Source organism: Homo sapiens, chromosome 8 (genome assembly GCF_000001405.40).
Source record: "Homo sapiens chromosome 8, GRCh38.p14 Primary Assembly".
Lineage (NCBI taxonomy): Eukaryota > Metazoa > Chordata > Mammalia > Primates > Hominidae > Homo > Homo sapiens.
Genome location: NC_000008.11, coordinates 137,782,823 through 137,797,556, shown reverse-complemented (window position 1 = coordinate 137,797,556; position 14,734 = coordinate 137,782,823).

The following is a 14,734-nucleotide window of genomic DNA, read 5'->3' as shown; positions in this document are numbered from 1 at the left end:
AGACAACCTAATTAAAGTCTTCTCTGGGTTAATGTAGCCATGATGATGGCAGCTCTATCTCTACCTGTCTCCACCCCTAGGGCTGTGGAGACCAAGGGTAAAAACTAGCTAATGCATTACACACTGACTGTATACCAGGCGCTGTGCCATTCCTTTAGTACAAAGAACAGTTCAGGTGTGATCCATATCTCAGGCACAAATGATGAATTGTTTCAAAAGGACACATAGCAGAAAGCTCAGACATCACAGATTTTTTAGGCTTGAGTCTGCAATCCAGTGTAAGATGACCTGTAACTGCTAAAACGAAGAACGGAGGAGAACTAAGTAATAGTCATCTCTAAAACAGGGTACGTTTATTAAAGAAGTGTTTATTTCCTTTTGGGGAAGAGAGGTTTTTCCTTTGTTGTTGTTTTGCTTGTTTTGCTTTTGTGTTTGGGGTGGATTGTGGAGTAATATCTTTTCTTACACACAGTATAAGAAATAATAACTTTTACCTTCTTCATTGCATCTATTGATGTATGGAAAACATAAATTTATTTTTCTAATCTCAATATATCCCACTTAATCCCTTTGAAAATGTCCCCACATCATTATTTTTTAGTCTACTTATTTTCTGTTTCAAAGCTCACATCAATTATAGTTATGACAAAAAAACCTTCCATAGCTTCTTATGACAAATACCGCAAAATATCTTCTAATAACATCCTGCACACCCTCTTATTAACATTCATAACTAATATAGTGTTCCATTTAGATTACTGATTTTTTTTTTTTTTTTGAGACAGAGTTTCGCTCTGTCGCCCAGGCTGGAGTGCAGTGGCGCGATCTCGACTCACTGCAAGCTCCGCCTCCCGGGTTCACGCCATTCTCCTGCCTCAGCCTCCCGTGTAGCTGGGACTACAGGCGCGCGCCACCATGCCCGGCTAATTTTTGTATTTTTAGTAGAGACGGGGTTTCACCGTGTTAGCCAGGATGGTCTCGATCTCCTGACCTCGTGATCCGCCCGTCTCGGCCTCCCAAAGTGCTGGGATTACAGGCGTGAGCCACCGCGCCTGGCTTACTGATTATTAATTATTTCATTAGCAGCTGCCTTTTTTGGTACCATGTCACTTTCATGGAAAAAGGGGGTATCTACTCTGTTCATATTTGTTTCCTAAATATCCAGTAGGGTGCCTGACATATAGTAATTCTTAGTTGTGAAAACAAAAAGTTGATTAAAAACAAATGTACTATTTTATAGCTAAGGAAATAGGCTCAATATAATTACACAACATTCTACCAAAGAATTCATAAATGGCAGAAACTGATTTAGAACCCAAGTTTTGCCAGAGTTTAAAAGATCTATCACCTATCTATCTATCTATCTATCTATCTATCTAACCCACCATCTATCCATCTATTTATCTATCTGTCTGTCTGTTTATCCACACCTGTGGAGGTGCGTATAGGTGGAGTCAATATTTCCAAACCCCTTGCAGTGAGCCCAGGACCGTGCAACTGACTTTTTGTCCTATGGGATGTGGTTGGAAATGATGCTCTTTAATTTCAGAACAAGCCCTAAAATGTCCCCGCAAACTCTGTCATTCTCTCTCTCATGTCTTTGCTGCTGAAAACACGTCACCTTAAGATGACAACATTCGTGGATGTAAGGAGGTCAGATTCTTTTGTCAATATTACAGCACAGTTCCCTCAGAGAGTGCTTGAGCACAGCAGACCTTGACGTCAGCAAGAAAGGCACATGTGCTATGCCAAACTACTCAAAGTCCAGGCATTAGTTGTGGCCATTCCTGAATTAATCTATTCTGACAAATTCACATACTTTATAGGTAGGATAGTGATTAGAACCAAATGACGCTTGAATTGAAAGGTCTCTGAGAATCATAGAAGGATCAATTCATTAAAATGTGATTTTAAAAATAACATGTATGAGGTTTAATCACCTAACAATAATTCACTATGTTTCAAAGGTATGGGAGTTGGGGAGGTCAAACAAATATAATTATTGAAAACTAATCACAAAACCTTGTAAGCAGGGAATCTTGAGGTCAATCTATGGAATGCTTTTGTGGGCCATTTTAGTATGAACAAAAGGGAGCCAGCTGCCTAACAACAATGCTGAGCCATATGGATTATCAAGTCAGTCTTAGGCATGACGTGATTTTCTCCCACTGTTTATTTTCATACAATGAACATTTTTTCTTTTTCTGCAAAACCCCATCGTCTCCTTGTACCCTACAGAAAAAAAATGCTTCACATTGTAAAATAATAGACTTCCAAATGGAAAAATATCTTATTTATTTGTGTAAATGTATGGTAGACAAGTGTAATTTTATTACATGCATAGGTTGTATCCTGGTGAAATCAGGAGTCTTAGGATATCCATCATGCAAATAGTATACACTGTACCCATTAAGTAATGAATCCCCTTAGAGATACAGGGACTAAAACCTTGGAAGGAACGTGGGGGAGGGTGCTGAACATCTTATGTATTCTGACTTTGTGTCAGGTACTTTACCAAGCCTTGGGAAATAATTTTACCAAAATCATGCAGCTAGTGAATAACATATGTGGGACTCAAAAATAGTCCTTTCAGCCATTCCCTGCACATTAACATGGAGCACAAGAAACAGAAACATTTCTGAGAATGGAACTGCTGTTTTAAGCATTGAGGGGAATGCTGGCAGTCAGTATATTTGAAATGACAGCCCCACTTCATCAATATATGTTTTAGTCCTGTATAGAAGTAGAGGTTGATCATTAACCTATGCATCAACTACTTATTTAGAATAATTTAACAAACATGGTGAGTCAGGTGGCCACAGTTCATCTAATAAGTGATAGAGTTGGGGGCAAACACAGGCGTGTCCAGCTTAAAATTCTGAACTATTTCTGTCATGCAGAATAGCTGAGAAACTAGTTGGCAGTATATATAAGACACATGTTAAAATTAAGTAGGGGTGCAACTTAGGTGTGGTATAACAATTCCTGGGGAATTGTGACCCATCCAGACTGTTTCTGTCACCAAGGGTATGGTGTGGAGAACTAAGCGAACTCAGAGGTCATTTCTTCAAGTGAGCGCTGGAGATACCGTCTTCCTCCCAATGACATTGTAATAGGCCCTTTAATTATCAAAGCTACCTCGTGTGTTCCTCTAACTTGTAGTTTCCTTGTGTCTGACCTATGGCTTCTTGAGTCAATTGTCCTGGGCACAGAATCAACTTCAATATTACTTTGCTGGCATACATGAATTGCTTCATTTAAAACTGCTGAATGGAAAGGGTTTGAGAAATTCATGGACCTCTTGTCAAACTTCTCTCCTGCTGAATCCACTGTTTTGGTTGCACTACTTACATTAGTTTGAGTTACAAAAGTTGACTTCTATAATACAAAATGGTTCCAAGTTATGAAATTCTTAGTAAACTAAGGTTGCAGGCTACTGGCGAAAAAGGCCCATCTTAGAAGGCTATATATTTTTTTCTCTCTGTGTCTAGCTCTCTCACCACATACCTAATCTGATATCTCTGTTGTACAGCATTGCTGACAACTATAAGAAACTTAAATATCCATTATTATGCTTTTTTTTTCCTTTCCCCTAATATTACAGCCTCAGATGGGATGTGGTGTTAGTCTCAATGTGCAGTCGCAGATATTTTAATTAAATGCTTCCTCCTCTATAACCAGGGTCAACTACTTTTAGCCCACTGCATTAGTTTTCTGTTGCTTCATAACAAATTATCGCAATCTAGCAGCTTAAAATATATCTCACGGTTTCCATGGATTCGGAGAACAGGATGGCATGGCTGGGTTCTCTGCTTAGGGTCTCACAGAGGTGAAATTGAGATGCTGGCAGAGCATGTGGTTCTTATTTGAGACTCAAGGTCTTTTCCAAGCTCACCAATTGTTGGAAACATTAATTTCGTTGCAGCTATTGACTGAGGTTGCATTTTCCTGGTGGCTGTTGGCCAGGGACTGTCTCTCATATCAATAAAGCTGCCTAATGATGTGGCTCCCATAGTAGTTCCAAACATGCTTTTTAAAATTTTTTTATTTTTTTAACTTCTAGACACATCTCTCTGACTTTCTCTTCTTTAGCCATCCAGAGAAAACTCTCTGCTTTTAAAAGGTTCACGTAACTAAGTTAGACCCATTTAGATAGTCTTTCTAATTTTAGGTCATTTGATTAGGGAACTTCATTATGTCTGCAAAACCTCTTCACAGCGGTACCTCGGTTAGTGATGGACTGAATAACAGAGTGGGTATGAGTACACCAAGAGGCAGGAACCTTGGGGGTCAAGCGGGAATCCTGTCTAACATGCCTGCAAGTGTTGGATTCTTATCTCCTGCTATAACTATATTTGCTAATTAGTCAAATCCTTATCCTTGGGTCTGTAACTTGCAGTGCCCCAGTCACTTTGAGTGTGAAATTCCGTTTCAGCTAAAATTACTTTTTGCTGCAAGTAACAGAATATCAATTTATAATGTTTAAGTAGTCAAGGTATTAGCCATCTGAAGTCAAAGGCTTTCTGAGGGTAGGTGGCCATAGTGCTGGCTCAGCAGCTCAGTAATGCAATCAGAGAATAGATGCGCTCCCTCTTTATTCTTTACTACGTCCAGGCATTACATTTGCTGCCTGTGTGCTTCTTGCATTATGAAAAAAAAAAAGGTCTCTGTTATTCTTTATAACCGTTGTGCAGACAACAAAACAGGAAAGAAGAATCAGAGGCAAAAAGATTTTCTCCTTGTAAGATTCCATGCTTTTATAAAGAAAACAAACTCTCTCTGAAGGGTTCCTGTAACCCCTGCATACTGCCCTTCGTATCTGGGTCACACGACTACCTTAGTACAATAAAGGCTTGGACTGCTAATGACTGGCCATATGGCAGTGGGCAGGAAAGTCAAAGTTTTGTTAGCAAGGGAAGAGGGAAATGACCGAAGTATGCCAACCTCCAGTGCTCTCAGAAATTTTCTCCAACTGAGCACTTTAATTGGCTGAAGCATGTTGTGTGCCAGTTTTCTAGGTTGATAGTGTAGCAGAAGCTCCTGACTCATGTTACCATTGGGATAATTAGATGGGCTAGTATATTTTAAATATTTGAAACAGTTTCTGGCACTAACATTAGCTATGAATAATGTTATTGTCTCCATTCCCTCAGAAGTAGAAGGTTTAAGAACGCGAAAGAGGGAAGAAGCAATAGATTTGTAATACTCAAGGAATATGAGAGGGATTTAGATTGCAATCCCCCAAAGACACAGAACATATATGCCTTCATCTATTCATGAACTTTTTCAACAACAGATACACATTATGCCTGAATATTTGAATGGTAAGGTTAAGATCTGATTTCATGCCAAGGAAGGAGTCAAATTAAATGTAGAATAAATAAAATTAATGGGTCACCAAATCCCCAAACTCTACCAAAGTCAAACCATCATATCAAGTTATCCAGAGCAGAAGAGATAATGCGAGAAGAGAAAAAAGAAGTGAGTGGCATCAAATGCCATAGACAGCTTCAGTTGTATTTTGGATAAGAGCCACCACAGGTTATGACCAAGAAAGCAGAACTTGGGAGCTTGAGTTTCCAGCATGTTTCGATGCAGTTAATTTTAATGATTAGATATCACAATTTCTCTTTTTTAGGACTCCAGGAGAAACTTACAGACATTCTAGGAGTGGTTGAGCTTTTTAAAGAAGACTTACTCACTATGGATTAATGAAGCATATTTTGGAACCATAAAATAAACTAAAAAATTACATCCCTGTTTTAATTACAGAGCCACTAGAAAGGAAGAAAACATTCATAAATTTGGAACTAGGCAAGCTAACTTTTTGATCTAAGGTCTACCAGGACAATGTGTGAAAGCCAGATCCTTGCTTTGTCACCCATGGCTTGCATGATGACCCTGCTCAAGTTATTTAATTTCTATGAACCTCAGTGATCTCATCTGTAAAAGAGGGTTAGTGTCAGTGTCCATATCATAGGACTGATGTGAGGATTTTACCATTAAATTCAGAAAGCATTTAATAGAATCTGTCACTTCATGAATACTTAGTAAATGTTAACAAATATTAACCAAGCCTCTAGCATGTGTCTTAGGTCCCATATTTGTAAACTGAAGGTGTTTATAATACCTCATCCAGCTGTGATGTTTAATATGATGAGGAATAAGTTCATAAACACATGCAAAACCTTGAACAGAGACTAACAAAAGTAGTGAATCAAAACCCAGTAGCTATTATCTGTATCTTCTTGCAGATCAAGTAGTGGAGCATAACATTGAGATACAGCTCTCATTTTCCCTTATAATTATTTTATTATGAATACTTAAGCAATGAAATTTATCTTCCCCTGAGGTGATGTGGATGGATTTAAGTTCATTGCAAGGCCAGCATAACTTTTCAAATATCTAAAATTAAATAGTAGTGAAATCACCTTTTAAATGTGAAAGATGGCTAGTGCTAAAATATCAACAATGAGCTCTCTGCAATCTTTGGTTATTTCCCAGAAGATATTGGAGTGAGTAGGCTGGAGATAGTGTTTCTGTTTTTAGATAGTTTCATACTTGATCTTCCCTTTTATTTCAGAGTTACTAATTAAGTAAAATGCTAATAAAGTACTTAACATTTCTGGCCATGAAAATGAAAGAGGGAACTACATTTTAAACTTCTTTGAATGTCTCAGGGAGCTCCACTAACATTTGTTAAACCCCTTATCTTTTTATCATAAGCATTCAATGGTCTTTAGGAAATGAATATAATTATTTCTCATTGAATTTTTGACATTGAAACACCTAAAGAAGTGCTTGCAAGCAACCACCTACATCCTCTCAGATTTCAGAACTTTCTCCCTCAATTCACCCAGGGCTTTCTTTGCATTTATTCATCTCTCTGCAGTTCAGACGAGCGAACATTAATTAAATAGTCACTGCTTAATAGTGTGTGGTAGAAAGAGGATGTGGTTTGAAGCCAGTCAGAGCTACAATCAAACCCTCCTGTGCTCTAACTCTATGACTTTAGGGATTACATGGAGGGGAGTGATGGAAGGTGGAGTCAACTTACATAAAATGCATAGCAGAGGCTCTGGCATCTAATCCTCCCTAGTCATTGTAACTAATTTTATGAATGCTTTTTGTGTATATGATAGATACTCTTACTTACCAATTTCACAGGACGATATATCTAAATTGTTCTTTTCCTGACATTATGATTTAGCTTATTGAACTTTCCTTCTTCTTTCAATTTTCTTGTCTCCACCTTCTACTTCCAACCACCATCACTCCATATGATGGGTGCAGTTATACAGAGTTGGAGTGCAGAAGAAAGTATTGAATTGTAAGACAAAAAATCTGCTGAAAGATTGAGAAAAGGACTAAAAGTCCTATTAGCAATCTGTGGTAGACAATCTTGGTGTGTCTAATATTTCCAAGATGCATGGAAGACTACCTTTCTCATCCCCTTTCCTTAACGGGGTTCCATGTAAACAGTTCCCAGCAATTGATGATATCAGGAAGTAATGGGTGCCATTTCCAAGCTGAAACATTGAAAAGCTGGTGCTCAATTCTTCATGTTTCTTTTTCGTGATACAGCAATTATGAAAGGATGGTTGGGATTGAAAAGCCACAAGTTTGAAGCATCCACTCTCACAGAGCCAGGATAATCAGGAAGCTTGATTGCAAGTTGACAGAACATGCTGCAGACATTGTTAGCACAATAAATAAGCTTTTGTTGTTGATATGGTTTGGCTGTGTCCCCATCCAAATCTCACCTTGAATTGTACTTCCCATAATTCCCACATGTCATGGGAGGGACCCCATGGGAGCTAATTGAATCATGGGGGCAGGTCTTGCCCATGCTGTTCTCACGAAACTGAATAAGTTTCATGAGATCCGATTGTTTTGTAAAAGGGAGTTCCCCTGCACGCACTCTCTTCCTTGCTGCCATGCAAGACGTTAGTTACTTTGCTCCTCGTTTGCCTTCCGCAGTGATTGTGAGGCCTCCCCAGCCACGTGAAACTCTGAGTCAATTAAACCTCTTTCTTTTATAAATTACCCAGTCTCAGGTATGTCTTTATTAGCAGCATGAAAACAGACTAATATAGTTGCGTTAGACTATTAGGTTGGTGCCCTGTGCTATTTTGTAACAGCCTACCTCTCCTGACTGATGTATCCCCTCTGCAAGGACTGGAGGATGTTAGCCTCCAGACATCTAGCACTTCAAAAAAAAAAAAAAAAGCATTGACCTCTCACTGATGTTAGGAGAAAGAAGTTGTTTCTATTATCCTTGATAGGAACTAGCAGAATAACAGATGCCTGGTATGTGAGCAGGAAGGAAGAGTGTATACACCTGGTTTGAGTTGACTAAAATACATTGTGCACTGAGGAAACACCCCGGGGATTCCCAGAGCTTGTCTGCTTTCCACAAAGTTTGTTGTTGTCAAGCAGGATTATGCTCTTTAGAAATTGTTCTCATACAATCAAACATTTGGTGTGGCAGGATCCTTGAGGAATTAAATCTTTTCACCAGCAGGAGGAATAGTAACTCTTAAGCAAGACAATGGCTTCAAAGAAAGGAATGCTCCTGTGAGAATGCTTTAGGGAGATAATTACTATGTGACTATATATAAATTTGATTACTGTTGTTTAACTTATGTTTTTAGAGCATATTTTAGCATTTATTTATTTATTAAAAGTATATTTGCCTGAGTTGTACCTGCATCTGTAACACTTAGCAGCCTGAAGATTTTGCCCTGAATTTCTTTTTATGTTCCTAAATTGTTGAAAACTCCATTATGCAGAAACTATGATAACCTTTTAAGGCCTTTCCTTTAAAGGTTAACAGAGCCCTAAGCCCACGGCTTCCCTTTTCTTTCTCCTAGACCTTTTTCTAGTCTCTTTCTTGCAAGGGAGTATCATTTGTTGGTGGTGGTCTTGTCTATTAGCGAGTTTTGCACGCTGTGTTGGAAAGTAAATCAAACCCACATTTCAAAGCCAGCACATGATCACTCCAGCCAAATAACTACACTGTATTCCCGGGGATTAAGCCTTCTCTGAAGTTCATGTTTCTCTTCTGGAGAACAAGACTAAATAGGGAACTTAAAAGATTCCGTTTGTCATCCCTTTATGAGCCTAGATTAAAAACTAGCCGTAAGAGAACCTTCCCTCACCCCTTCCCCAGCATATTTTTAGCTCTTTAGATGTTATCCTAGTTTAAGTCATCCCCAGGTTAAAATTTTGCTAGTTAAATGTTCCTTCTTTCCCTCCCCTATTCCTTCCTTCCTTCCTTCCTTTGTCTTCCACAAATATGTTTCTGACTGTCATTGTGTGCCTGCCACTGTCATAGATAAAAATTTGGCATTGAAAAAGTTGGATTAAGTGTCCCCGTAGTTCATATATTCATAGTTCACATAGTGAGGGAACCAGACATAAGTCCATGAAGACACTAAATCAGAGTAAAGTAGGTTGGTCAAGGAAGTTTCATTTAGAGGAAATGACATTGATCAAGCTGGAACCTGAAAGTTGAGAAAGGAGGGGCCATGGAAAGATCTAAGGAAAATCATGTTTATCTTCTTGGAGAGACCAGAATATGCCTTCCCAAAATATGAAGTGTTGATGAGCTGAGGACAATTAAGAAGACACAAGAAAGCTCTCTGCCCTCCCTCTATTTGCCTAAAAGCAGAACTTAGATTTACAAAGACAAAAGAGATCCACCCCTCCTCTGTCAGGGGAAACAAAGATAACTACTGAAGACAACTTTGAACCCTCATACACCTGGCAATGGGACCAGAGGTATCTATGTTAACAAGCTTCACTAACCAGCCTTTATCTGCCAGTTATCTGCCTTCTCTCAATTTGTTGCCCCTAGAGACTCAAAGTTCTTTTCCTTTATCTTGTCACTTCTCTAAAAATATATTGTTCTTTGTTAACGATGCCATATAAACTTGAATTCAAAGTTACCTCTTTGAGGACTACTCATTCTCTGGGTGTCCTCCATGTATATGTGAAATGTACATGTTAGTGAACTTTTGTTTGATTTTTTCTTGTTAACCTGTCTTTTGTAATGGGGATCCTTCCAGCTAAAAATGTATGTGGATTATTCTTCTCCAACACTTCTTTTACAGAAGAAGAAAGAAAATAAGAAGGTAGAAGAACTCTTATTGTCATCTTCTGAAAGAGATTTATCTTCTTTTACCAATCCCAAGTTTATGAGAAAAGAAAAAGGGGGAGCAAAAACCAGGGCATGTCCTTGACATGGGGAAAGGGCTTCTGGTTCTGAGGCTGTCATAGAGAAGAGGACAGTGGATAGGACACTTCTGCTCACCAACAATGATTCCTTCTTGAGAGGTAGCTTTGTGGTTTGGCCACATGAACATCCAGTGGCAAGGCAGCCACTTTTAATTGTAGCATTTAGCTGGAAACAAACTAACCCATATGGGAAAGTTTCATTTCATATGATTTTGGTGATACTCAATGTAATTTGTTCATTTCATATGATTTTAGTGATACTCAATGTAACTTGTAAAAAAAAAAAAGTATAAAATTGGTATTTGGTGTTATCTCCATTCTATTTTAATAGATTTTCTTTTTTTTTTCCTTTATGGAAAGTATTTCAGAACCACAGCTGCATTATTTGCATACCACATGGAAATAAACCCTGAAAAACAACAACAAAAAGCCTTAAAATAATTTTTATAGGGATGCATTTTCCTTATAAGAAGTGTTTAATAGGAGTTGTTAAAACAAGTTAGACTAGAGTGGGAAGAAAATGCATCCACGCGTCCTTGAGTACAGGGAAATAATGCATTATTCCATCAAGATGAAAGTCACAGTACTTTAGAAAGGACTTCAGATACAGGGAACTTAGGTAAACATGAGATGAAATGAAAAGGAAGAAAGTCCCTCTTTCAGTATCCAGTGTTAATACGTGTCATACGGCTAAAAAAGAAAGTTTAATATTAGAACCACTACTAATAAAAATAATGATAATAATAATCACAGAGCATGATTAATGAGCTAAGGGGTATATTCATATTTTAATATAATTCAACATATATTTGATTGAACATGCTAAGTACTAGACTCTACCTTACATGCAAAGACTATTGCAGTGAACGAGAATATTCGTTTTCAACCTCATGCAGTTTATGGTCTTAATGGACATTCACACAAATAAAGACAGTGGGCTAAGTTTCAAGAAGAAACAATAAAAAAGGAAAATTGAAGTGGGGTGAATGTTACATAAGGGGACTTAACATCAAATGTGAATAATCAGATTAAGGCCTTCCTGACCAAAGAACCGAAGAATATTGAATTTTAACTGGAAGGATGAACAGAAGTGTGGGGTGTGGAAAGTTTTGGGAGTGAGGGGATGTAGAGGAACTCAAACCTAGTAATTTAAAATTATGGGACTCAGGGGCTAGATCCTGGCAGGACAAACACACCTAATAGAGTATTTTTCAAACTTTATTCTAAAGGCAGAGAAGTCATAAACAAGGTAATGATGTGGCATGGTGAGATTTACATTTTAAAAAGATCCATCTGGCTCCAGAGTAATTTGCCCATGACAAGGGAGGCTGATATTATGTAGGAAAGAAGAATGAAGTACAATTTATGTATCTCAAGGCAGTTAACTCAGGAATGACCAAAGCTGAAGGAATGGCAATTATGCAACATGGTTCAGGCTTGAAAGGAGACTGACAGTCTTACAAGTGAACCTAAAAGGTGGTGCATGATTTCATGGAATTTACTCAGGTGGGTGTCATAACTTGTAGGACGTTGATGTATTTTTTGTTTGTTTGTTTGTTTGTTTTTGTTTGTTTTTATAGTCATCAATCGAGGGTTTTATTTCAGTATCATGTGAATACTAATTGCACATCTTTAGGAATTCTTTTTATTGTTATGAACCTTTTCTGCCTGCCACAGTAGTTGTGGAGTCTAAGCATTTTAAGACGTGGAGTGTAAATTAGCAGATATATATTGTTTTTGATGATTAAGAGCCCATATTCTGCAAGTGTAATAGTCATTTGGAGAAACTGGCAGTGACTAATATCCAGTGGAGTGTACTCTAACAGATTCTATGGGATAGCTATTTTTCAAATCCTCTGCTTGTTCCTTAATTGAACTTACCTGTCAATATCATAGGGATATATTTGATCATCATATGCCTTTTACAAACCAGCAATCTACAGAAGAGTGGGGAGGAGTGTCCTGCCTATGTTTCTGCAGAAGGAGAAAGATCTCAATTTCCTTGATCATCTAGACTGTGCCAGAAAAGGATTTCCTTATAGAAAATCTTAAAGGTACATATAATTATCTATATTTTACAATGAAGGAAATCAGGACTCAGAAAGTTTAAGTAACTTATCCATAGTCTTACATATAATAAACTGGCAAGCATAATTACAAAACCAAGTTATTGGACTCTAAGTTTTCATTATGTTTATTAAAAATCTAAACCTATTTCCATGTATTAGTTTTTACTTATATTCAGAATGAATTCTGCTATATTTAAGCAAAAATATAATGATAATAGCTAGTACTTATATATATATATCATTTACTAAGCCCCAAACACACACACACACACACACACACACACACACACACACACACACATAATATAGTTTTAAATTATGTTTTAGAGTATATTTTAGAATTTATTATATATATACATGTACATGTATGCATACATATATATGTATGTAATTTAATCTTCACAATGGGCCGGAAGGGTTGCACATTTTCACAGCCATTTGAATATGAGGAAGCTGAGTTGGAGTGAAGTTAATTGGTTTGCACAAAGTTACACTCCTAGAAACAGAAGAGTTGGGAGTAGTGGAACCCAACTGGAGCCTCTGCTCTTAGCTGCTATGCTACACTGCTCTCTGTGCCGGAGTGTTCTATCAAGGGTGGGGTGTGTTCTATCCAGGGAATGTAAGAGTCAACTCAATCCACCATACATGAGAGATGCCAAGTGGAAACAAGTCAGGCCTATGGGCTCACCTTCTTCTCATCACCAAAACCACAGGTCATAGAGATTTAGTTGCACCCAAGGTAGCTCTCTCACAGAATAAGTCAGAATCCAGCACACTACTAGGACCTCGTCTATTTCTTTCATCCAATTTCAGAAAAGTAGAAATGCAGTACAAAGCCTGTTTTTTTTTTAAATTTCTTTGTTTTAGAGTCATCTCTATTTGATTTGGGATTATATCCTGGCTTTGCCACTTACAGCCATGGAACTTTGGACAAATTACTTTCTGTTTCTCATATCCCACATGACTACAATGGGAATTATTTCATTCTCTAATGAGTTTAGCGAATTAGGTGAGTTCATATTCATTAAGCATTGACAAGGGTACCAGGTATTAAACAAATGGTAGCTGGTATTAAACAAAGATTCATGGCAAATATCAAACAAATGCTATATATGTGTTTTATTTTATCTCATCTGAGAGTGGACTGTAAACTTATCTTCTATGTACCTAGCCTCTTATCAAATGCCATTTCTCACTTTCCTTAAATCACAGGTGAGGAGCTTGTCCTGGGAAAGGTCCTATGACTTGAGCAGATCAAAGGGCTATTAAGGGTCCATGCTAGGATATCAGTGCAGGTTCTTAGGGAAATATCTGGTATCCTTTTACATGTTAATAATGGTATCTCAGGCCTCTTTAATATACTGTCACAGGAGCATGTAGAAAAACTGCATTTTATCACAAGCAGCATGGCTGGTGAGTACTCCACTAGATAGCAGCTTCTGCGTGGTCAATAGCCAAGTTTCTCAATCCAGTTTATTAATTCTCACTTTGAAATCATTTGCCACACCCACATTAGTTACATGTTTCAATTTCCCTTATAACCACAACAAGTGGCTTCTGAAGTTTGTCTATGACACTCATAGCAGGTGGCCCTCAGTTGTGGTTTTTCCAAGACTGAAAGAAAGGCTCATTATCTATAAAGGGAGTTCTATCTAGGCAATGTAAGATAGTCAACTCAATCCACCATACATGAGAGACGCCAACTGGGGTCTTAGATGGTAACAAAGCAACACGTCTCTGCCAAATGTCAGTGCATGACAGTGGGCAAGTCACTCTACCCTCTGTACTTTCGTTTTCTCAACTATGAAAGAGGGGCATCTGCCCTTTCTCCCTCACAGGGTCTTATGGGGGGGTCCGATAATCTGTGTCACTCATTAAACAAACATGTTTTTGTCTATGTGCACTTTCAACTTTGTTTCAGGAACTGCCTATGGCAGTGGAGAGATAATTAAAATAAAAACATGATTCCTGCTCTTAAGAAGTGCATAAATTAGTTGGAGATTCTCATTAACCTTACCCTGGTTTCTCCTCAAAGATTCATGGCAAATATCATCATGTTCTGCATTTTGCCTTCATGTTTATTTAAAGAAAAGTAAGATTTTATTTCTCACCCTGCATACTAAAAAGCACATCCTGATACTTTTCACATTTTATTTATTTATTTATTTATTTATTTATTTATTTATTTATTTATTTATTTTGAAGAGTCTCGCTCTGTTACCCAGGCTGGAGTACAGTGGTGCGATCTCGGCTCGGTGCAACCTCCGCCTCCCAGGTTCAAGTAATTCTCCTGCCTCAGCCTCCCAAGTAGCTGGGACTACAGGTGCACGCCACCATGCTCAGCTAATTTTTGTAATTTTAGTAGAGACAAGGTTTCACCATATTGGTCAGGCTGGTCTCAAACTCCTGACCTCAGGTGATCCACC